This window comes from Homo sapiens, chromosome 17 (assembly GCF_000001405.40).
Source record: "Homo sapiens chromosome 17, GRCh38.p14 Primary Assembly".
Taxonomy (NCBI): domain Eukaryota; kingdom Metazoa; phylum Chordata; class Mammalia; order Primates; family Hominidae; genus Homo; species Homo sapiens.
Genome location: NC_000017.11, coordinates 64216158 through 64240741, shown reverse-complemented (window position 1 = coordinate 64240741; position 24584 = coordinate 64216158). Strand labels below are relative to the sequence as shown.

General features: G+C 42.3%; 1 protein-coding gene across 14 annotated transcripts in view, besides 4 other annotated features; it reads left to right on the top strand.

The window, feature by feature from the left end:
• Positions 1-24584, top strand: part of TEX2 (testis expressed 2) — a 116034-nt gene that overhangs the window by 22519 nt on the left and 68931 nt on the right. For 2 of the 14 annotated variants that reach the window (NM_001288733.2, XM_011524998.2), the window contains exon 1: positions 10008-10133. The exons of 11 other annotated variants lie outside the window; for them this stretch is intronic. The gene's annotated coding sequence lies outside the window, so the exon portion shown is untranslated. Of the gene's footprint in view, positions 1-10007; positions 10134-10212; positions 10236-24584 lie in introns of those variants that run through there. One more of the 14 variants, XM_047436392.1, reaches the window with a different exon arrangement.
• Positions 288-497: a silencer, noted in NCBI's record as "fragment chr17:62317605-62317814 (GRCh37/hg19 assembly coordinates)". NCBI's record gives its function as "represses an EF-1alpha promoter that drives an FKBP-Casp9 reporter gene in an ReSE screen in phorbol 12-myristate 13-acetate-treated (for megakaryocytic differentiation) K562 erythroleukemia cells {active_cell/tissue: K562(+PMA)}" and the evidence as "EXISTENCE:reporter gene assay evidence [ECO:0000049][PMID:32094911]".
• Positions 22869-23700: an enhancer, noted in NCBI's record as "H3K27ac-H3K4me1 hESC enhancer chr17:62294402-62295233 (GRCh37/hg19 assembly coordinates)". NCBI's record gives its function as "activates a minimal SCP1, AML or CMV promoter by ChIP-STARR-seq in primed H9 embryonic stem cells {active_cell/tissue: H9 hESC(primed)}" and the evidence as "EXISTENCE:reporter gene assay evidence [ECO:0000049][PMID:30033119]".
• Positions 23701-24533: an enhancer, noted in NCBI's record as "H3K27ac-H3K4me1 hESC enhancer chr17:62293569-62294401 (GRCh37/hg19 assembly coordinates)". NCBI's record gives its function as "activates a minimal SCP1, AML or CMV promoter by ChIP-STARR-seq in primed H9 embryonic stem cells {active_cell/tissue: H9 hESC(primed)}" and the evidence as "EXISTENCE:reporter gene assay evidence [ECO:0000049][PMID:30033119]".
• Positions 23903-24102: an enhancer, noted in NCBI's record as "active region_12588". NCBI's record gives its function as "activates an Ori minimal core promoter by ATAC-STARR-seq in GM12878 lymphoblastoid cells {active_cell/tissue: GM12878}" and the evidence as "EXISTENCE:reporter gene assay evidence [ECO:0000049][PMID:35858748]".

The following is a 24584-nucleotide window of genomic DNA, read 5'->3' as shown; positions in this document are numbered from 1 at the left end:
AACTGACTCTAAACCGATCAAGGAAGAAGAGGGACTAGCCATCCAAGGAGACAGACACTTATGCCAGGAATTTTGTAGAATTCCTTTCATTCCCCATGCAAATGCTAGGAGGTAGACTTTATTTTTCTCATTTTGAAGCTCAGAAAGTTTCTGTCACTTGCCTGAGGTCACACAGCTGGTGAGGGGCAGAGCTAGAGTTTGACTGCTCAGAGGGGTCAGTCTGAGTTGGAAGCATATACTCTTTCTACTGCACCAGGCGCCTGTCTGACCTGCCTGAGGACAGCCCTGCTTGCTCCCTCCTCTTCGTAACTCCACCTCCACCCTCTTCCTCTTCAGTGTCCCCTCAGTCACCTTGCCCAGTGTCTGAGCCAGGACAGGGTGTCGTGGGCTGGCCCGTGGGTGGGCAGTGACAAGTGCTGTTATCTTAGGTTCCTGGAGGATGAATAGGCTTTTAAACATTTATTAACAAAGAGCTTTACACACACACACACACACACACACACACACATCTGCATATACACATACTTATATACATCTGTATATATAAAGATCATAGAGGAAAGTTAAGCTTCATATGACCCTACCATAGCAGGCATTCATTTACATTTTTAAACATTGTATAATCAGTGTACTTACTAGTTTGTATTTTCCCCCTCATTTATCATGATTTCATTTATGCATTTCTAGGCAGTGCATATACTTACCATCTGTAAGGACTTGTAATATTTCCTGTTAGCACACCTAGAGTCCTTATTTAACAATTCAAGTTGTTAACCTTTTGTGGCCTGGTAAGGAACTTACCAGATAACATTATTTCTCTTCTCTTATCTTCTCTGCTTTTTTTTTTTTTTTTTTTTTTTTTTTTTGAGACAGAGTCTCACTCTGTTGTCCAGGCTGGAGTGCAGTGGCATGATCTTGGCTCACTGCAACCTCTGCCTCCCAAGTTCAAGCAATTCTTCTGCCTCAGCCTCTCGAGTAGCAGGGATTACAGGTGCCTGCCACCACACCTGGCTAATTTTTGTATTTTTAGTAGAGACGGGGTTTCACCATATTGGCCAGCCTCGTCTCGAACTCCTGACCTCAGGTGATCTGCCTGTCTCTGCCTCCCAAAGTGCTGGGATTACAGGTGTGAGCCGCCATGCCTGGCCAGCATTATTTCCTTAAGAAAATAAGTTGCTTTTGAAAATTTTTTTGTAAGTTAAGCTTAGTTTATTCATCGTTTTAGTGGATTTGGGTTGGAAACATGCAGTAAGCATTTGACAGAAAACAAACATTTGTATTTTCCAGGTTTCAGTTTACATTTTGATCTAAATTCTGCGAACAGTTATAACTAAATTTACAAAGCTCTTTGGGGTATGATTATATGTCTAGGTAAAACTCTTTTAAGAAGATGAAGCAGAGAGGATTGAATTGACAAAGACAGCTCTTTAAAAATTAAGGTTATTTCAAGACTAAGAACATAACTGCTTAATTGCAGGTAATAACAGAAAAAACTTGGAAATAAACATCCCATTATTTGACCTCCAAGGCAGAAGACTGGCACCAAGGAAATGGCAGCTTCGTCCCTTTCCTGTCTTGGGCATTGGTAAAAGGAGTTGTCTAGACATGTTTGATTTCTGTTTCAGCCCTTATTAGTAGTTATGCCATGGCAAATTATTCAATTTCTCTGACTCAGTTTCCTTATTCAGAAAATGGAAGCATAATTCTTGCCTCATAGGGCCATGAAGATTAAATGAGGGGTGTCTTGAAGTGTCTGGGACATAAATCTTCAATAAAAGCTAATTCCTTTTTTTTACAGTTATCTCAAACCTTTTAGTGAATTGGTGCTTATCAGTGAGCTTTTTAGGTGATGCAAAGACCCTGCTTTGCTCATTTTAAGGAACAGTTATTTTTCTTTCTCCATTTTGAAGTTTCTTGTTTGCTGCCTGGTTGATATGGTTTGGCTGTGTCCCCACCCATATCTCATCTTGAATTGTAGTTCCCATAATCCCCACATGTCATGGGAGGGACCTGGTGGGAGGTAATTGAACCATGGGGGTGGTTACCCTCATGCTGTTCTTGTGATAGTGAGTGAGTTCTCACAAGAGCTGATGGTTTTATAAGGGGCTTCCCCCTTCGCTTGGCACTCATTCTCTCTCCTGTTACCCTGTGAAGAGGTGTCTCCTGCCGTGATTGTAAGTTTCCCGAGGCCTCCCGGCCATGTGAAACTGTGAGTCAATTAAACCTCTTTTCTTTATAAATTACCAAGTCTTGGGTATTCCTTCAAAGCAGCATGAGAACAGACTAATACATTGGTTTAAATTAGAATGCCAAAATTTAAATAATTTTTATCTTGAATAGTAGATGGAATTAACTTTCTCTTGAAAGATATATTTTAAAAAATTGAACTTACACAGACAGTTTTGAAATGGTCTTATTTTAGTTTTATTTATTTATTTATTTTGAGACAGAGTCTCACAGTGTCGCCCAGGCTGGAGTGCAATGGCACAATCTCGGCTCACTGCAACCTCCACCTCCAGGGTCAAGCGATTCTCTTGCCTCAGCTTCCTGAGTAGCTGGGATTATAGGCGCCCACCACCATGCCCAGCTAATTTTTGTGTTTTTAGTAGAGACGGGGTTTCACCATGTTGGCCAGGCTGGTCTCGAACTCCTGACATCGTGATTCTCCCACCTCGGCCTCCCAAAGTCTCAGGATTACAGGCATGAACCACCGCGCCTGGCTGAAATTGTTTTTATTATAGATGTTGCTTGTGCAGTTTTGTTAGAAGTTCGTGACTTTTAACAGTGATGAAAATACTTCGTCATTCAACAGGTTATTTTTCTGCTGGTTGTAGGTTATTTGTAAGGAACTGTTAGTCTCCTATCTGGGTGGACATGTAATAGTATCAGTTACTGAACCAGAACTTTAAACACCTTTCTGATACTCACACTGGGAGGTCACCAAGTATCTCAGAATAAAATGTCCCAAACTGAACCTACCATGTTCCCAGAAACCCAGCCCTTCTCAAATTCCCAGACTTGGTGAATGGGAGCCTGTCCTTGCAGTCTTGTAGCCCAAAACCTAGGGCTTAAGAACACCTTCTTCCTTACTCCCATATGCAACCCATCAAGTTCCATGCATTTCATCTCCTAATCTCAAATCCCTTCACCCATCTCCACAGCCACCCCGCTAGTCCGGGCTGCCATTGTCTCTCACTTAAAATGTTGTTATTGTCTAACTGACCTTCCTGAACCCTTTCTTGCCTCTTTCCAGTTTATTTTCCACACTACAGCCAGAAAAAGCTTTTCAAAATACGCATCTGGTCACCTGCATACCTGTCTCCAGACCACATACAATAAGCCTTCACTTGTTCCTCCTTTCCCTTAGGAAAAAAACTAGATCCTCAATGTGGCCTTCAAGGCACTGCATGACCCAGCCCCTGCCGCACTCCTGTCTCATACTGTGTGTATAATACTCACCCCCGAGAAGCTGCTTCAGATTCCCCCATGAGGCTCTGCGCCTGCCTCAGGCCCTTACTCTTACCCTTCTTGTTTCTGGAATGCCCACGCTGCCATCACTTAGCCAGCTCGACTCATCCTGGAGATGTCAGCCCAATGCCCACTTGTTCAGGGGGCCCTTCTGTGATTAATATTCAAAACGGATCAGGTTTCCCTGCTGACTGTGATCTCTTGGTGCCCTTCACATCACTTCCTAGTTCTTGCATTGATTATGTGATTGTCTCGCTCCTCACCCCTCTCTAAGCTCCCTGAGGTCAATCTGAGTACTGCACCACTTTGCAAATTATAAGACAGGAAACAAGTAAGTCCGGAATATTCAATCATTGCCTTCACTCTCAGAGCTCAAATTCCACGTGTCCAACTGTCAAGATTTGGCTTACATTAAAATGTTTATGCAAACAGACATTTAACAGTGAATAAATTGTGAAATTAAGAGAGCCATAGATCTATAGCTAACTCCAAATGTTTGTGTGCATAATAAATTGAGGGAAAAATAAGAGTTTATCTTTAACTAGGTGTTATTCTTAAATTAATTCCTGTATTGTAGTGTAATCATCCCTCGGTATCCATAGGAGATTAGTTCTAGGATCCCTGATAGATACCAAAATCAGAGAATGCTCAAGTCGCTTGTATAAAGTGGTGTTATATTTGCATATAACTTATGCACATCCTCCCATATACTTTATTTTTAAATTAATTAATTTTTTGAGACAGGGTCTTACTCTGTCGCTCAGGCTGGAGTGCAGTGTCAACCTGGGCTCAGGTGATCCTCCCCACTCAGCCTCCAGGTAGCTGGGACTACAGGCGTGAGCCATCACACCCAGCTAATTTTTAAAACTTTTTGTAGAGACGGGGTCTCACCGTGTTGCTCAGGCTGGTCTCAAATTCCTGGGGCTCAAGCGATCCTCCTGCCTTAGCCTCCCAAAGTGCTGGGATTACACTGGGCCCAGCCCTCATATATACTTTAAATAATCTCTAGATTACCTGTAATATCTAATAAGATGTGAATACTATGTAAATAGCTGTTATATTGTGTATTGTTTTTAAAATTTTTATTTTTTTTTAGTTGTATTTTTTTTTCCCCGAATATTTTCGATCTGTAGTTGGTTGAATCTGCGGATGTGGAACCTGTGGGTATGGAGAGCCGGCTGTACCTTAAGCTATTTAGATTGCTATTTCAAGGAGGAGTTTACATAGGGAAAAATCTGTGTTGCAGGTGCCCAAGGTGGCCAGTGTAAAGGGGAAGACAGAGTCATCAACAAAGTCACCAGGTAACAGTAATATGGATGAACATTTGCTACAGGTGGAATTTCATAGGAAAGCTCATCTGATATAGCTTGTTTGTGTCTCGGTAAAGTCCTAGGCTAATGTAACCAACTTCCCTAAAGATGGAAATATATTCCCATAGCACTCAAAAAGGGATGTGCAGAATTTGGGAGTTTTTATGATTTTAGTACTTGTAGTAGAACATTTACTTATGTATAGCAATGAATTAGAGGAGCAGAATAGGATGGGTCATACTCAGGGATGACCTAGGCCTGCTGGTTTCTTTTTGCTGTAAACTGTGGTTTACTTTTTGTAAGAAAGTCTTCACAGTATGGAACATATATCCCTAATAGGCAGCTTTTTACCCCAAACAAGTTTTGAGGGGCCTATCACAATAGACAAAAGCGCTTTATAGCCTGGTCTGTGAATTACTGTGACTTTTTAAAAGCACCTTTCAGTGCTTGCCTGAGTTGTCATTACACTCAAGGTCCCCCAGAATTGATGTTCCCCCTGGGTAGATAGGGTGAAAGTCTTTGTCTTTCCAGTGATGTGCTCAGTAAGTACTGAGTGGATGGAACACTTTCTTGGAGCACAGAGCACCTGCAGAAAGCTTCTGTTGGCTCCAGATTGGTTTGTCAACGGAAGCATCCGCATGAGGCAGTGCCACACAGTGGTTAAGAGGATGGCCTTGGAACCTGAGTCCTAGCTCTGCTAGTTAGTAGCTTTGTTACCTTGGTGAGTTGCCTAAACCACTTTCTTTTTCCTCGTGTATTAAATGTGGAAATGATGATAGTACCTACCTGGCAGAATTGTGAGGCTTAGATGAGATAGTGTTATAATGTTGGTAAAGTGATTAGCTAGAGGGCTGGCAGTCATAAACGTTGATTGTTGTTCTTGTTGGTTCAGGGTCCCTCTGATACATCTTCACAGATCAGGACTGCGTTTGACTTGGATCTCTATGGCCCTTTTTTCCAAGAATTCCTGCCACTTTACTGGACTGGGTCATGCGCTGCCCAGTACCTAAAGGTGTTCTTTAACCACAGAAATTAAAATGGCAATCATAATGTTTTTGGAGGAAAAAAAAAATACCTGTATTTTCTGAAGAAATAAATAACCATTGTATCTTTGTATTTAAATAGAGTAACTGCCAAATCAATAGGATATTTTGAGAACAAGTGGTAATATTTCTTGGTGTCATTTACTCCATCATAAAGATCCATGGGGAGAGAGCAGTGTGGTTAATTATGATGTTCCTGTGCTGTCACTGCCTAAATTGACAGTGTATGAAGTGCCGTCCCATTTATTCTTTCTCCCAACAAGCTGAGGGGTGGGGTTTTACCATCATGGTCCTCATTCGACAGATCCAGACCCAGTGAGGCTGCTCCTGAGCTGGTGTTTTTTCCAGTTAGCCTCAGCTGTCAGCTGCGCCATGGAGGATGATTTTGGGTGTTGAGTTATCTGGGTGGTATTTAATGGGCTCCTAATTGCACATGGATGGCCAGAAAGTTCTGCTCCTGTTTTGGCGTTTTGCTTTGGCAGACAGTGCTCTCTGAGGACTCACATAAGCTGGAAGAAAAAAACCCAACAACAAACTCAACGCTAATCATCTGGAAAGACAGGATACTGCTGTTAGGCAGATATTGGACCTGTGAACAGAAAAACATCAAGATCACAATTTTACAGCGTTTGTTTCTTTGAAATGTCAAATGGAGCCCCAATACAGCCATCAGGTTTATAGCACCTCCAGAATTAGATTAGACGGTGTGGTTCCATGCTGTGTACTTGTATTTCTGGTTATGAAATGCTCCTTGTGCTTATTTTCCCCAATCTGCTGAGAAACACTTTTTTCTTGTTCCTTTATGCATTCACGTTTCTTTTTTATTCCACTTGCCTTTTTTCCTTACCCCTTATTTCTGCCTTCTGCTCTGCTTTTGGCCTTTAGACAGCAATGGAACAGACCTTCAGGAATGGGCGTCCATGGAGGCCCTGGCGGGGGCCAGCTCTGTACCTAGGATCTGAGTTGGGGGGTTAGGACCACGTCCCAGGAGGTAAGGCCACAACTCAAGGGCAAACAGTACAGGCATGTGTAGTGAAGATCAGGAGCAGGACATGGTCTCACTGTGCCCTGTGTCTATGGAAGCAGCTGCCCATTTCTGATTCTTCAGATATTTTAAATGAGTTCATTGACCTTGATAGAGACTTGCCCTTCTTTGATGTAGTTACACAGCAATAGCCTGTTAGAAAGCACTTGCCTCTAACATGGTGCCTTGCAAGGTAGGTGTAGACTATATTAACTAGTTATTGGTGCCAGGGAATAACTGGTACTATATCTCCACCTGAATTCCTCGTGATTCCATTGTCTCTTTCTGGGTATGCATGTGTTTTTGTTTGTTTGTTTGTTTTTTGAGATGGAGTCTCACTCTGTCACCCAGGCTGGAGTGCAGTGGTGCGATCTTGGCTCACTGCAACCTCCACCCTCCAAGTTCAAGCGATTCTCCTGCCTCAGCCTCCCAAGTAGCTGGGATTACAGGCGCCTGCCACCGCGCCTGGCTAATTTTTTGTATTTTTAGTAGAGATGGGGTTTTACCATCTTGGCCAGGCTGGTCTTGAACTCCTGACCTCGTGATCCACCCACCTTGGCCTCCCAAAGTGCTGGGATTACAGGCGCGAGCCACCACACCAGGCCGCATGTGTGTTTTTAAAGTGTAATGCATTCCTAATGGTCCAAGTTGTTTTACACCAGTGAATCTCAGTTCCAGGGTGGGCCCCGGGGCAGGGTATGTGTGTGTGTTTGGGGGTGGGGTAGTTGTGTGTGTGGTTGTGCACATATAGGCTTATGATGACTGGGGAATTAAAAAAATGTCTTCCAATCCATCAGTTGTGAAACTCCACAATCATGATAAGCCTCAAGATGGATAGGGGTGAGCTGGGTCATTTGTGTGTTGAAGATGTTGCCTAGGATTTTCTGGTACACTAACCCTTCCCTCAATCCCAAATGCCTCTGCCTTTTTAGAACTGTGATTAAGAAGGTAATGATTAGGGATGATCAGTTGTCTCACCAGCAGTCTGTTAGGTGGAGCTGACCTGGGCTCATGCCATCTGCAAAGGAACCCATGGGAACCAGGGACCATTTTCAGCATTTGAAAAGGCTTAACAGAAACTATGCTTTTACCCAGGATGAACATACAAAAGCTACCCAAACCATCAAGTTTCCTTGCTTTTGTTTGGAATTGCAACCCTGTATGGAAGGTTTCATGCTGACTCCACGTTCTGATTGGCTGTGGATGACATAATAGGAGTTTCTGACACAGGATTGGTCTAACTGTAGATATTGTTACTGGAGCTGGTACCAGGTCTCACTTCCCACTACCTTTAGAATGAGGTTGACCTTGAATGTGAGTGCCCTTGACTATGGAAATGAAGCCACTGATTGTTTCTTGCTTGCTCAGCTATGCTTATTATCACACCTGTGGCAGTGACTTGATTTTTATAATGTCATTATGAACCCCTTATAAATATGGATTGTTGATTAAAATTTGGATCAGTATTGAAATGGAAGAATAATACACAGAATTAATCAGTTTACTGGTAAACAATGTAAGAATATTGAAAAACATGTGGCCAACATGGGGAGGGGACAGAAAAAAAAGAGGTTGATGAAACTACAGATCTTATCCACAGCTCTCATTTAAAAAAGATCCTTTTTCATCAGCTTTTCACTGAAATCAAACACCAATAACTCTTTCACCACGAAACACCAACTATTAATACTTAGTCTCTATAAGCCTCCTAGGATCCTGTTGTGTTCATTTACCTAGGTGATGTACATCATCCTAAATTCTGCCTTTTCATTTTGTATTACGATGTATATGTACAGTACATATTTTTACATTGTCATTGTGTCATTCTTAATGGTCACAGCTGCCTGAACTAAACCTAAAGTCAGACAGTCAGGACAGTCCAGTGCTGGTGATTAGAGAAGGCTGGAAACAAGCTGTCTGATCCCGGATAACATGCCGGTGAGTCCACAGGCTGAGTCGGCACGGATAAAAAGATGTGCTCACACCTGCTGTGGATGCTGATTATAGTAGCTTACATATGTTAAGTGTTATTTCTTAATTCTCCCAGCAGCCCCTATGAGATAGGCACTATTATCTGCATTATATGTAAGGAAAAAGAGGCCTTTTGCCGTAACTTGTCCAGGGTGACACACTGATAAGAGGTGGAACTGGAATCCAAAGCTGGGTCTGTTTAATTTCAGAGTTTGAGTTCTTAACCAGGTTTTCTGTGCAATTGTGTTGCACCCCAGGACCTATTCAGTTCTCACCTCCCTTCAGAATCTAACCACCTTCCACCTTAATAATGACAAACACATCTATTAATATGCATTAAAGTGACAGAAGCTTAATACTGAAACAAGATAGAGTGGATGTTGCTGGCGAACAGGAACCCCAGAGACGGTCCTGTCCACATGAGGCTGTGTTAGTTTTCCTAGAGCAGAGTGGTGTGAAGGGCCAGCCTGCATTCAGTCTCTCCTTTGGTTCCGTCCTTTAGTCAGCCTCAGAGTTTTTCAGACTTGAATGGGCACAACAGTGACCACACAGGGTTGCCTGAAGCACATATATGGTACTTGGTGGGAGACTCAAGATTCTTAGTGAGGCTGAGAAGTGGTGCTTGGGTGATGTTTGTACAGAGTAAGAACTAATGAAGCACTGGGATAGAGAGCCCCATGAAGTTCAACCCCATCACAGCCTGAGCAGGAGCAGCCTCACAGTCACCTTCTGTACTGTTTGGCAGTAGGTGGGGGAAAGATAGGGGCTGCTGAGGAGGCCAAGTTGATGCCTGTCCTCTGGTGCCTGAGCACATGCAGGTGCGGCTGATCTGCAGCTCATTCTCATAGGTTGGAAACTCTCCACCTAATGGCCAGCACACATAAGGGATGTTTCTACAGCTGGGCTGAGCAAGACAAGTCTGGAAAGTCTAGAAGTATTTGTTAATGGGAGATGAGCTGTTTCAGTACTATTTGAAAAATATTTTGACTTAATTGCCTTAGGCACATTAGTCAGCTGATGTGCACTCTGGTTTGCTTTCCTTGACTTTAACAGTTGCCAAGAATTTCTCTTGTTACAAAAGAGAAAAGTAGGACTCTAAGTATGTTCTGTTCCATGGAAATTGAGTCATAGACTCTTAGAATTTAGAGCCTTCTGGAAAATTCCTTGAAGACAATGGAGGAAGCTTCCCTCAGTTTACAGCAGAACCCCAGGCTCAGGGAGGTGAAGTGGGGAGCTCCGTCACTGTCATTTGAGGGCCATTTGAGGGCTGTGGTCCTCCGTGGAGCTCCTCCCTCTGCTGCCTCATGGCCTCACTCGGTCTGTGTTTTCAATGACTGATTTACTACTAACTGAACAATTGTCTGAATCCCAATCATCTCATCAGTGGGCAATCCTTTCTTGGCATGATCCACAACAGAGGTAGAGTTGGGTGGGGAATGTTCCCCCTCAGGGCCTATAGGCAAGTGGTTCTCCTCAGGGAACCATGAGGTGGCCAGCCGGCCAGGTCAGGACCATGCCTGTGCCAGGAACCAGTATCTCCTAACCTTGCCAGTTGTGAACATGGCTCTGGGTTTCTTGCCTCTATTCCTTTTCTTCTGCTTTGTCCTCCACTTAAAATGTACTCTCCATTTTGTCTTGGCGGGGCACCTTGTCAGGTCCCCATGGGCCAGCTCACACGGGGCCCCTGGGAAACCTTCCACCATGCCTTCTCATATTCCTCCCATCAATTCCTATTTCCCTCAGTCCCACTCTTTCCCCTACACACACATGTGTGCACACATACATGCACATACACATGTGCACACATGCATGCACACATCTTAAACCTGGTTTAAAAAAATTTATCTTCTTTGGCCCTCAGATGCCTTACCTATAAATAACATTCTGATGTAAGATTACACTTAGCAAATTTACTGCCCTATATCAAGGTTAAGTCTGCTGATGCCTGTGTGAAAAGGAGGGTTTCTGACTGGGGGAAACGGCTAATTTTTTTGAGTTCTTAAAGAGTTTTTTCAGTTTTTGAAGAATTAATCTGAAATACGTTCCTCACATTGAGAAGCTGAATGGCCAGTGATCAACCTAGATGTAAGCTAGGTTGTCTAATTTCCTAATATGATTTGAAGGGAATAAATTCAATGCTTTACAGTTTATTATAGCTAGAAAATAGAGAAATGATTGTCCATATCAGTCAGTTTTTCCAAAGTTAAAATTTAGATCCTTGTATAGGAAACAGAGCAATATGTGTGTTATGTGTGTTATATACACTATTGTCAGCGTTTTCTAAAAAGATTTCAAAGACGAATGTTTTTATGCTGATGGAATGGGAAGGCTTCATCAGGAAGCTGTAAAAAAATCCAGAAGCCATAAAGAAAAAGATAGAGAGCTTCAACATCTCAAAATGTAAAACTTTGTATATTAAAAAAAAAACCCATACAATTAAAAGGCAAGTCAGAGATGGAAGGAAATATTTGGAACACATACAATAGACAAAGTATTAACTATCCTTGATAAAGAAGTGAATAACAAAAGTCCTTGGGCAAGAAATATGAACGACCAGTTAACAGAAGAAGAGAAGCAAATGAGGGAAAAGTATGAAGTGACTATCAAAGCATTGAGATACCTTTTCCCTGCCCACTGAATGGGCAGAAATTTAAAATAATATTCAGTCTTGACCAGGGTTGAAGGTGGACATTTTATACAATGTTAATTAGGAGAGTAAATTGGACAAATTGGCAAACAGTTTCAGAATTTTAAATATGTACCTCATTTGACCCAGCAACTCCACTCTAGAAATACATCCTACAGATAGACTTTCTTTTTGCACAAGATTTATATGGAAACACAGCTTTTAAAGGCAGCGTTGTTTCTAATGGTGAAAACAGGAAACCCTGCAAATTTCTATCAAATAAAAAAATGATTAAGTTAATAGTGGCATACCTTACTGTGTAGAAAAGGTGTGTGTGTGTGTGTGTGTGTGTGTGTGTGTGTGTGTGTGTACCTGTCAGTCCATAGGTATAGGCCATAGGAGGTGGTCCAAGAAATAGTAAGTAAAAAACAAATGCAAAACAATTTGTATAATATGATCTCATTTAAAAGTAAAAACAAAAACAACTTTATTTGTGCGCACTACCTTTTGTATGCACACAAAATGCCTATGAAAGGTCTGGAAAGATACGTTCTAAACCAGGGGTCCCCAATCCCCGGGCCACAGACCAGGAGCGGTCCATGGCCTGCTAGGAACCAGGCTGCACACCAGGAGGTGAGCTGTGGGTGAGTGAGCAAAGCTTCATCTGTATTTACAGCCCCTTTCCATCCCTCGCATGACTGCCTGAGCTCCACCTCCTGTCACATCAGTAGCGGCACAGATTCTCATAGGAGTGTAAACCCTACTGTGAACTGCGCATGCGAGGGATCTAGGTTGCTCCTCCTTATGAGAATCTAATGCTTGATGATCTGTCACTGTCTCCCAGCACCCCCAGATAGGACTGTCTAGTTGCAGGAAAACAAGCTCAGGGCTTCCACTGATTCTACATTATTGTGAGTTGTAGAATTGTGTCATTATATACAATGTAATAACAATAGAAATGAAATGCACAATAAATGCAGTATACTTGAATCATCCCGAAACCATACCCCGCTGCCTCTGGTCCGTGGAAAAATTGTCTTCCATGAAGCTGATTTTGCAGGGAGGAGGAGAAAATTTCACTTTTCCTCTACATCTGTTTTTGAAGTTTTTTTCAATGAGTTTGAAATTATATATTTTTTATTGAAGTGAAGATGTATACATATGGTTCAACTCTCTCATTTCACTTCTAGAAATATTTCCTAAGGAAATAACCAGAGGGCAGTCAAAGGTTTATCTATAGCTAGTCAAAGGTTTATCTATAGCATCATGTGCAGCATTGCAGTCTTGTTTGTAATAAGAAATTCAAGTGGTATTCTTGAATTACATTATGGAATATTCATCCTATACAGCGATTAAAAATCATGCATGAAATAATCTTTGATTTGAGAAAATGCTTATAAGAACAGTAAACAATTAGGGAGGGCTGCTCTGTGCCAGGGATCATGCTCAGTGCTTTGCTTAAGTTGTTTCGTTTAATCTTCTGAACAGTCAGTTGCCATTCCCATTTTACAGATGAAAAGAAGCTTAGGCTTGGTTAGGGTAAATGATTTGCCAGAGGGCCAGACTGCTACCAAGTTGGTGGAACTCAAACTAAAGGCCTTGCTAATGATAGATTACTTCAGTGTGTAATCTTGAGTATAAAAGCAGATTACATACATACATACAGTGTGTCCTCATTTAATAAAAATGAGTCTTTCTGCCTTAGTTTTCTTGTGGGTAAGGCACGGAGGATTGGCTAGGGCAATTTTATATTCTGAAGATAATGATTATAATAATTTTTAAAAGATTGACATGTGTTTACATATAATTTTTTTTCCAGATCACAAAAGTATTTGGAAATACCTGAAATTAGCAAATAACAATTACTGTTAAACCTGTTATATGGAGAAAATGAGAATTAATGCTACCCTCTCCTTTTTTTTGCCCAGTGCAGACATTTGTACATTGGTGTCAGCTTGATGAGTACTTACTTGATGAGTACCATCTGTTTAGGACATACCTGTCCTGAGTTTTCATTACTTATTCTAGGGATTTTTTGCCCCCATATTGATGTCATTTTCTTTTTTTTTTTTTTTGATACGGAGTCTCACTCTGTCACCAGGCTGGAGTGCAGTGGCAGGATCTCAGCTCACTGTAACCTCCGCCTCCAGGGTTCAAGTAATTCTCCTGCCTCACCCTCCCGAGTAGCTGGGACTACAGGCGCGCACCGCCACGCCCAGCTAATTTTTGTATTTTCAGTAGAGGCGGGGTTTCACCATGTTGGCCCAGATGGTCTCGATCTCTTGACCTTGTGATCTGCCTGCCTCGACCTCCCAAAGAGCTGGGATTACAGGCGTGAGCCCCCGTGCCCAGCCTGATGTCATTTTCTGATGTCTATGTGTTGTCTCCTTGAGTTTTCCCTGTGGATGCACCCATTATTTTTTATAAATATTTTATTATTTTTTATACTACTTTTATACTACAGAAAAGTTTTTACTAATTTTCTAGTTTCTAATACCAGTTTTCAGCAAAGTTTTTGCTAATTATGTTCCAGCCTTAGTGCAAGAGAGGGTTTGTCTCATTGTGCCCTTGCCAGCATCATACATGTTTTAATCATTGAGAGAAATTATTTCATCGGTTTGTTTCCAATTCTGTATTATTTTTAGTAAGGTTGAGTTTTTTATTTGTTTCTTGGCCATTTGAACTTTTGGGTGAAGTGCCTGTTCATGTACTTGGGAGATACCTATTGAAGATGCCTTCCTAAATTTGACCATTAAAGAAAGACCTTAAGAAAGACTGTAAGTCCTTCTAAGGGGAAGTTTTACTCTGCCAGGTGGAATGCATTTTTCTTACATTGCATGAAAGTTAAAAACATGATTTCTTAACCACTTGGAATTTATCTGACTTACAAGATTTGCCTTTAAAATTTTAGAAATGATTGGTGAAAAGTACATGGAACCTCTCTGTACTACTTTGGCAACTTCCTGAGAATCTGTCATTATTTCAAAATGAAGCTTGAGAATTTAAGGAATGGTACAACTTCAGCTCTCTCCTCTTACTGCCTGGAACCCTGCTTGATAATCCCAACTGGTAGAACCAATAGGGACGGGAGGGGAGCAGCTCTCATGATATCCCCAAAGCCAAACAGTGGTTAGGAATGCTGCTTTTGTTTTTAATTTGGACATAGTTTCAAACTTTAAAATGGATGCAAAAGTAAAAATGGAATCTTAAACCCTTTCCCAAAGGTACATTGTTGTTAACATGTTACCCCATGAGCATCAGCTTTTGAAAATGTGTTGTTTTGGCTAGGCATGGTGGCTTCCGCCTGTAATCCCAGCACTTTGGGAAGCCAAGGCAGGCAGATCACCTGAGGCCAGGAGTTCAAGACCAGCCTGGCCAACATGGCGAATTTCTGTTTCTACTAAAAATACAAAAATTAGCTGGTTGTGGTGGCATACACCTGTAATCCCAGCTACTTGGGAGGCTGAGGCAAGAGAATGGCTTGAACCCGGGAGGTAGAGGTTGGAGTGAGCTGAAATCTTGCCACTGCACTCCAGCCTGGGTGACAGATCGAGACTCTGTCTCAAAAAAACAAAAAACAAACAAAAAAAAAGAAAAGAAAAGAAAAATGTGTTGTTTTGTGACCACAGCCACAACACACTATTCTCATATCTTGGGCTTTCGGCACCATACTCTCTTGGCTTCCAGGCATTCATTCCTCTGAAGAAAAATGCTTACTCCTGGTTTTCAGATTTCTCAAGAGCCTACGGTTTAGGAATGATTGGTGAAAAGTACATGGAAAGGTTTTCTTTTTAAGATTTAAATATAAATTCAAGCACATTTAGAGGTTTGGAACAATTGATTGCCTGCTCCTGAACTCAAATATTAATATTCTTTCCTCACCCCTAGCACCACCCCTCAGCTTCAGGTAGCAGTTAACGTCCCTCTTGTGTAGCTGCCTTGTTCCCATCTCAATGCCCTTCCATGTGCTGTTGCTTCATATCCACAATATTCTTTTTTTGTTGTTTTTAAATAGAGATAGTGTCTCGCTGTATTGTCCAGGCTGGTCTCGAACCCCTGGACTCAAGCATTCCTCCCGCCTCGGCTTCTCAGAGTGTTGGAATTACAGGCTTGAGCCACTGTGCCCAGCCTGCAATATTCTCTTCTCTGCATATCCTCCTTCTAAGACACATAGATGACTTTTCTGCTTTAAAAAAAAAAAAGTTATTCCCAGACTTCTTTACTTGATAAGTACCATCTGTTTAGGACACACCTGTCCTGAGTTATCATTACTTATTCTAGGGTTTCTGTGACCCCATATTGATGTCATTTTCTGATGTCTATGTGTTGTCTCCTTGAGTTTTCCCCTGTAGATGCCCCCATTATTATTTTTTATAAACCTCCACAGGCCTTGTATGGTTGTGCTGAACGCATGACCTGGTTTTCAATGAGTTACTGTGAATTGAATTTGATTTTGTTATTTGAGCCATCTAGCAATCTATAAAGCAAAATTCTAATTGTATTGATGCTTTCGAACCCCCCTTTCCTCTGGGATGTGGCACTCTTCCCAGAGTGGGCTTTCTTCATGGCAGGTAAAAGGTCTATGCGGTGGTGGAAGGGAGTGGGCCTGCTAGTTTCTTCGTCTAAACCCTGTGCTGTGTTGGTGGTGGTGCAGGACCCTGCTGGGTCGGAAGAGATGGTGAGTAGGGGCCTGGGAACCTAACAACTAATGGGAAAGGATTTCCAAGTTTCTTGCCAGTGATGAAGATAGAGTCTTGTCTTTTTCTTTTCTTTAAATGAAACTAAGGCTAGAGCTAGTTCATTATCTACAATGTCATATTGATTTTTGTTTGTGAGGTGGAGTATTAACAGATTAGAATGGCTGCTGGCAGTTCTCAGCTGCTTCATTGAATTTAAATGAATCAAGGGATAGCTCTTAAGATGTACTTGAGATTTGTAGGCTAAATCAGACCTTCCTGCCGTGGTTGGTTTTGACCAGATTCACTGTTTTGCTCTGTGGCATCAAGGCAGAAAAATACAGAATCTTATAGCCTTTTCCCTCCTTTTTACAAAACCAACTCCTATTAAAAAATGCACAGGTAAGAAGTATTAAGACATCCTCTGCAATAGAATGCAGCTTGCCTTCTTTTCCTCTGCCAGGAGCTTTTGGATTGAAACTGTTGACTGACATAACCCAAGCTAGCAGATGGTACTCATACATCAAATGTCCAAATGCAAGCTTGTTCAGAGGTAGCAAATGCCTAACAGGCTGAATTTTACAAAGACAAAGAATGTGAATAATGACCTTGAAGGATTAGGGATGGTCCCGAGAAAGGAAGCACACTCGACACCAGGCTTGCCCCTTCAGATGCTGTGTTACCTGCCTCGGCCTCCTGGCCAACATGGTAAAACCCCGTCTCTACTAAAAATAAAAAACATTAGTCAGGTGTTGTGGCAGGCACTTGTAATCCCAGCAACTCAGGAGGCTGAAGCAGGAGAATCGCTTGAACCTGGGAGCTGGAGGTTGCAGTGAGCCTAGATCGTGCCATTGCTCTCCAGCCTGGGCAATAAGAGTGAAACTCCATCGCAAAAAAAAAAAAAAAAAAAGATGCTCTGTTACCGTGCTCACTGTACACTGTACCTGGAGGCTGGTTCCATTTTCAATGAAATTTGCTTTCTTCCCTCCCTGCCTTACCCTGTCTCTCATTCTTTCCTCCAGTATTTCCTCTAATCTAGTATATGAATTAGAAGTAAATAATATTCATGGCTATACTACTATTTGGCCTAGTGTGTTTGCTATGAACAAACACGTGTTGGTGATAATTGAGTGGCCTGGAACGAACCATCTGCTCTTTTTATGGCTCTGATTCTAGAACCCCAGGATTGTGAAAGACAGAGCTAGGAAGGGCAGTTATTAGTAGAAAATGAGACCAAAGAAAAAAAGTGAAAAAAAAAAAAAAAAAGCCAGATTCAGTGAGGTTAATATTATCTTGGAATTAATAAATGCTAATATTGAGTCTTGAAATGGCTCTTCATTTTTTATTATACAGCCTGATTTATTGTTGATTGGTTTTTCATGGCCTAATTGATGATGATGACCTTTTTGGGTGAACAGAAAGCAAATAAACCTCATTGCTGTTTGATACGCTCACTCTGACTCCACTGACACAGAGCGCAGTTGGCTCCAGTTTGAGGCCTTTGTTTTTTATGAGTTCAAGTTAGATGGCAGCTACTAATTTGTAAACTAGATAGAACAGAATCCTACATAAATTCTGGAGAGAGAAGCCCTTATTAGAGGCTTTCTCAGTCTTAATGGGAGAGATGAACTTCTTCATAGGGATAGCAACCTTAAAGGAGGATTCTGGCAAAGACCTTAGGAAGGACCCATCAGCAGAAGAGTTTGAGACATCCTGCTTTCTGGAAACATACCGGATCAAGGCTAAGGTTTAGAGGGCATTTGGCTCCAAATAGCCTCCCCCACCCCACCCCTGCCCCACCCCAAATGTATGGGAGCATAAATACATTTACATCTATTATCTTATAACTTAACCACACTGTAGTGTAAACACTAAAGAACAATGTGAAGTTTTTGAATAGAATTGTTTTAGTTGGCATAACAAGTGGTTCAGAGTATTATTTCTTTGTAGTTTTGAAGAGTGAAATCTTTTAAAATTTTATATTATTTGTTTATTTTTTAAAATAGTGATGGGTCTCCTGTGTTGACCAGGCTGGTCTCAAACTCCTAGCCTTAAGCAGTCCTCCCATCTTGACCTCCAATTTTTGCTTTTTTTTTTTTTTTTTTGTGAGTTGGAATCTCGCTCTGTTGCCAGGCTGGAGTGCAGTGGCGCGATCTCAGCTCACTGCAACCTCTGACTCCCAGGTTAAAGCGATTCTCCTCCCTCAGCCTCCCGAGTAACTGGGATTACAGGTGCCCACCACCACACCCAGCTAATTTTTGTATTTTTAGTAGAGACGGGTTTCACCATGTTGGCCAGGATGGTCTCAATCTCTTGACCTGGTGATCCACCCACCTCAGCCTCCCAAAGTGCTGAGATTACAAGCGTGAGCCACCGCGCCTGACCAATTTTTGCTTTTTAAAATGTAACTAACCTGCACATATACTGGCCTTCAAATTTTATTTTTAATTATGATAAAATACGTATAGCAAAATTTTACCATCTTAACCATTTTTAAGTTCGGTAGTATTAAGTATATTCACATTGTTATACAACCAATCTCCAGAACTTTTTCATCTTATAAAACTGAAATTCTGTATCCATTAAACAACATCTCCCCATTTCCTCCTCTGCCAGCCCATGGAACTCTTCATTTTCCTTTCTGTTGCTATGAATTTGACTACTTTAGATACCTCTTGTAAGTGGAATCATACAGTATTTGTCTTTATGTGACTAGTCAGCTTATTTCGTTAGCATAATGTCCTCAAGGTTCATCCATGTAGTAGCATGTGACAGGATTTCCTTCCTTTTAAGGCTGAATAATATTCCCTTGTGTTTGTCCATTCATCTGTCAGTGGACACTTGGGTTGCTTCCACCTCTTGGCCATTGTCTGAAATGCCACTGTGAACATGGGTGTGCAAATATCTTTTTGAGACCCTGCTTTCAATTCTTTTGGATATATACCCAGAAGTGGGATTGGAGGATTATATGGTAGTTCTATTTTTAACTTTTGAGAAACTTCCATACCAGTTGCGCCATTTTACAGTCTTGCCAATAGTGCACAAAAACTCTAATCTCTGTACAACCTTGCCAACACTTCTTTTCTTCTTTTTTAATTGTAGTCATCCTAATGGATGTGGGGTGATATCTCATTGCGGTTTTAATTGCATTTTCCTAATAACTAGTGATGTTGAGCATCTTTCCATGTGCTTGTTGCCCATTTGTATATCTTTTTGGAGAACTGTCCTTTCAAGTCCTTTGCCCATTTTTTTAAAAATGTAATTTAATTTTAAGTTCCAGGATACATGTGCAGGACTTGCAGGTTTGTTAACATAGGTAAATGTGTGCCATGCTTGTTTGCTGCACCTGTCAACCTAGGTGTTAACCCCCACATGCATTAGCTATTTATCCTGATGCTCTCCCTCTTCCTGCCCCCTGCCCCCTGACAGGCCCCAGTGTGTGTTATTCCCTTCTCTGTGTCCAAGTGTTCTCATTGTTCAGGTCCCACTTATAAGTAAGAACATGCAGTGTTTGGTTTTCTGTTACTGTGTTAGTTTGCTGAGGATAATGGCTTCTAGCTCCATCCATGTCCCTGGAAAGGACATGATCTCATTTCTTTTTATGGCTGCATAGTATTCCATGGTGTATATATACCACATTTTTTTAGTCCAGTCTATCATTGATGGGCATTTGGGTTGATTCTGTGTCTTTACTATTGTGAATAGTGGTGCAGTGAACGTATGTGTGCATGTATCTTTATAAGAGAATGATTTATATTCCTTTGGGTATATACCCAGTAATGGCATTGCTGGGTCAACTGGTATTTCTGGTTCTAGGTCTTTGAGGAATTGCCACACTGTCTTCCACAATGGTTGAACTAATTTATATTCCCACCAACAGTGTAAAAGCATTCCTATTTCTCCACAGTCTCACCAGCATCTGTTTTCTCTTGACTTTTTAATAATTGTCATCTGACTGGTGTGAGATGGTATCTCATTGTGGTTTTGATTTGCATTTCTCTAATGATCAGTGATATTTAGCTTTTTTTCATATTTTTTTTGCTGCATAAATGTCTTCTTTTGAGAAATGTCTGTTCATGTCCTTTGCCCACTTTTTAATGGGGTTGTTTTTTTCTTGTACGTTTGTTTAGGTTCCTTGTAGATTCTGGATATTAGACCTTTGTCAGATGGATAGATTACAAAAATTTTCTCCCATTCTGTAGGTTGCCTGTTCACTCTGATGATAGTTTATTTTGCTGCACAGAAGCTCTTTAGTTTAATGAGATTCCATTTGTCAGTTTTTGCTTTTGTTGCAATTGCTTTTGACGTTTTCATCATGAAATCTTTGTCTGTGCCTATGTCATGAATGGTATTGCCTAGATTTTCTTCTAGGGTTTTTATAGTTTTTGGGTTTTCCGTTTAAGTCTTTAATCCATCTTGAGTTAATTTTTGTATAAGGTGTCAAGTTGTTTGTTATTAGAGTTCTTTACATTTTCTGGATATTAACCCCTTATCAGATAAATGATTTGCAGATATTTTCTTCCCCTCCATAGGCCACCTGCATTCCTTGGGTCATGCTCCTTGCTCTCATTACTCTGATGTCTGCTTCTGTTTCACATCGCCTTCTCTGAGTTTCTGCCTTCCTCATATCTTTTAAGGGCACTTGTGATTACATTGGGCCCACCCAGGCAATCCAGGATAATCTTTCCATCTCAATCATATCTGCAAAATCTCTGTTGCCATGGGAAGTAACAGATTCACAGGTTTTAGGGACTAGGATGTGGACGTCTCTGAGTGGGGTAGGGGAGGAGCATTACCTGTGTACCACGTCCCTTATCTCCCCTGCCTGCCTTCACAGGAACTAGACTTATCTCTTTAGTGACTTAAGTCAATTTGGACTGTTCCTCATGTTTTCTTTTCCTTTCCAACCTTCCATCTGGTCCTGTTGCTTCATTCTTTTCCTTCTCTTTCCATCTGCCTTTTCTTGCCAGCTCCACATCCACTCCTCTAGTTTAGGCATTTCTTACATCATGCTTTGGCTGCCAGAATAGCCTTAAAACTGGTCTGCTTGCCTGTAATTCTCCCTTTAGATATTTTATTTTATTTTATTTTATTTTATTTTATTTTATTTTATTTGATGAGATGGAGTCTCACTCTGTTGCCCAGGCTGGAGTGCAGTGGCCCAATCTTGCCTTACTGAAACCTCCTTCTCTCAGTTTCAAGCGATTCTTGTGTCTCAGCCTCCTGAGTAGCTTGAATTACAGGCATGCGCCACCACGTCCAGCTGATTTTTGTATTTTTAGTAGAGATGAGGTTTTGCCATGTTGGCCAGGCTGGTCTCGAATTCCTGACCTCAAGGGATCCACCCACCTCAGCCTCCCAAAGTGCTGGGATTACAGGCGTGAGCCACTGTGCCTGGACTCCCTGTAGGTATTTTAAACTCATCTTGATGCATACTTGTAAAAACAAATCTATGCCTGATAATTCCATTATCTGAAGTCCTTATTTTTCTGTTATATTCTATTTCTGCTGGTCCTTAGTCTTGTTTCCTCATCTGCTTGGTTACCTTTGGTTATGTGCTTACCATTCATTGTATTTGAGAAAGTATTTCTCGGAATAACTTGAGGCTTCGGGTGAAAGTGCTTTGCTTTCGTGGGGAGAGAATTTCTTCTGCCAGGTCCCTGGAGGTATTTCTGGTCCAAGACCACCTTGGAAGAAGCTCATGGTTGAGATTCCCTGGTTCTTTCAGAGGAGGCAAACCTAGGCCTCCAGTCTAAGTGAGGCCTGGTTTGCTTCTGGTTCACCTGTTACCTAGTAGCTGTAGTCCTTTGGGGTCCCGGCTCCTTGAGGAAGAGTCTCCAGTTGGTGTTCCACGCTGGCCAGCCCTGGATGTTGACTTCTGCTCAGGAGGCTGTTAAAGTGAAAGGCTGCCGGGTGTGGTGGCTCACACCTGTAATCCCAGCACTTTGGGAGGCCAAGATTGGTGGATCACAAGGTCAGGAGTTCAAGACCAGCCTGGCCAATATGGTGAAACCCCATTTCTACTAAAAATACAAAAATTAGCCAGGTGTGGTGGCGGGCGTCTGTAGTCCCAGCTACTGGGGAGCCCGAGGCAGGAGAATCACTTGAACCTGGGAGGCGGAGGTTGCAATGAGCCGAGATTGTGCCACTGCACTCCAGGCTGGGTGACAGAGCAAGACTCTGTCTTTAAAAAAAAAAAAAAAAAAAAAAAAAAAAAAGTGAAAGTGTCCTTTGCCAGACTAGGCTAGGCCAATGCTTGAGGGCAAGGTGGCTTCTCTAGAGCTCATACCTCGGGGTTCCTGTTTTCTTTAGTTTCTGTACTGTTATTCCTTGCTCAGTTCTTGAAGCTTCAAAGCCTTTCAGACTTTTTTTTTTCTGGAGTCAGAGTCTCACTTTGTCACCCACGCTGGGGTGCAGTGCCACAGTCTCAGCTCACTGAAACCTCTGTTTCATGGATTCAAGCAATTCTTGTGCCTCAGCCTCCCTAGTAGCTGGGATTACAGGTGTGAGCCACCGTGCCCAGCCATTCAGAAATTTTTTTTCAATGTATTCATTGTTAGTTGTGTTCAGCAGAATTGTGAGCCTGATAATGGAGCCTGCCTTCCCAGACAACCAGACTCCAGACCTGTTTTTCCATGTTGCCTCTGCCACCCTCATCCATTCTGGGACGGGACGTGATTAATTTTGTGTACCACTTTGATCATGTCAGACTTTTGCTTAAACACCTCTCCAGCACGAAATCATACCTATGGGAGCCTGGCGACAACATGAGCTACAGCTCTCCTTCCCATCACAAGGCTTGGGGGGTCAGTGTTAAAACCCAAGGGCTTTGTAGTCTGCTGGAACTATGGGAAAAAGAGACTGTTGAGAAGGAAGCTTTCTTTTTTGGCCTTTCAGTTCCTGAGGGCTTGAGAGAAGCTTGTCTCTTTTTTTGAGCCTGGGTATAATTGAGTTTCAGGAGTAGAGGGCAGGAGGCTAGCCATTTTATATGGTACCAGATTGTCAGATGGATAATGAGACCTTTCATTTCTCAGTGCGGCCAGTCACATGCTGCTGGTTGAGAACTGAGGTCTTAGCTTGTAAGTGAGCTGTCCATGACGGAGCACAGAGGGCAGGTACAAAAGCTGGGACAAAGCAGGAATAAAGAGCGTGTGTGGCATGTTTGAAAAGGCACCCTGCCGGGCATCGGGCCTCAGTGTCAGGAAGCCCATGTTGTCAGTGCTGTGCCCTTGGACAAACCATGTAGTCTTCCTGGGTGTCAGTCAGGTCCTTCCTCTTGGCCTTGGCTGTCCTGCATGGCTGTGGCTGTGGGAGGGTCGGCTCAGTTGGCCTTAGCAGCCAGCCACTGGGAGGACAGAGAGAAGAGGGAACTTGAAGTGGTCCCCAGGAGGAGGCAGAGGCAGTGACCACTTGATAGGTTGTCTAGAGCCCAAACCATGGTCTCTGGTTCTAGCACACTCAATTACCCAGCAGTTTGGGGCCTGGAAGCAGCCTTTGTTTATCTAGCCTAATCCCCTCATTTTGCAGATGAGCAAACAGAAGCCTGGACATTTTCTTGTATTTAAAGAGCAGTAGTGATGCTCCGGCCTCGTGTGGCTTATTTTAGTAAAAATCTAGAGAAGTGGAACCAGGCTTTGGTTAGTGTGGGTTTGGGGGCATTTACTGTGAACCTCTGAGGCCACTGTCTGAGTGAGCCCTGGAGGACAATAACAACAGTGAGCCAGAGCCTGCCCCCATCTGGCCACCTGACACCCAGCTCTCCCTGGGGCCCACCTTCAGCTCTGTCCGCCCAGTCTGATCAGAGGTCGCTTTACCTGGCCAGTCAGGGGGCCCAAGTGTGTGGAGGATTAGGCAAGCAGGGTCCTGGTGACCTCCACACGAAAAATAACTCTGCTTCCTGAGCAGGTGCCAGCTTTTTGTTCCCTGGGGCCTGGCCTGACTGCTGAGACCGCAGGCTTCTGAACGCATTGCTGTTTTCACCCTTTGGCGCTAGGCTGGGCCTAACTTTGCCCTTAGATTCCCAGGCCTTCTTATCCTCAACTGCAGACGGGCCTCTCCACTCTTGCCTTGGTTCCTGAAGGACCGATTCACTCTGTTCAACCTCAAAATCATGCACTTTGTACTTGGACTTGTGCCCACAGTTACCTTCATTTATAGCCACCGCTGTGGGTGAAGCAGCCTCAGAACAGCAGAGCCTTACATATCATCCTTTTATGTTATGAAAGCAACTTAAATGAGTTTTTCAGCCCACTGAGAATTATCAAATACCAAACTTTTCTTTTTAAATTACCTCTATAATTTTCTTTTTAAATTGCCCTTATAAAACTAGGTGATAGTTAAATGAAAAACATATGTTGCTTCTGATATTTTTCTTCTTACTAAGCCTACAAATTCCTTAGCTTAAGATAACAGGGAAGGATTGTCCTGGACCCGAGGCTGTGTTTTTCTGGCTGCTGCCAGTTCCTG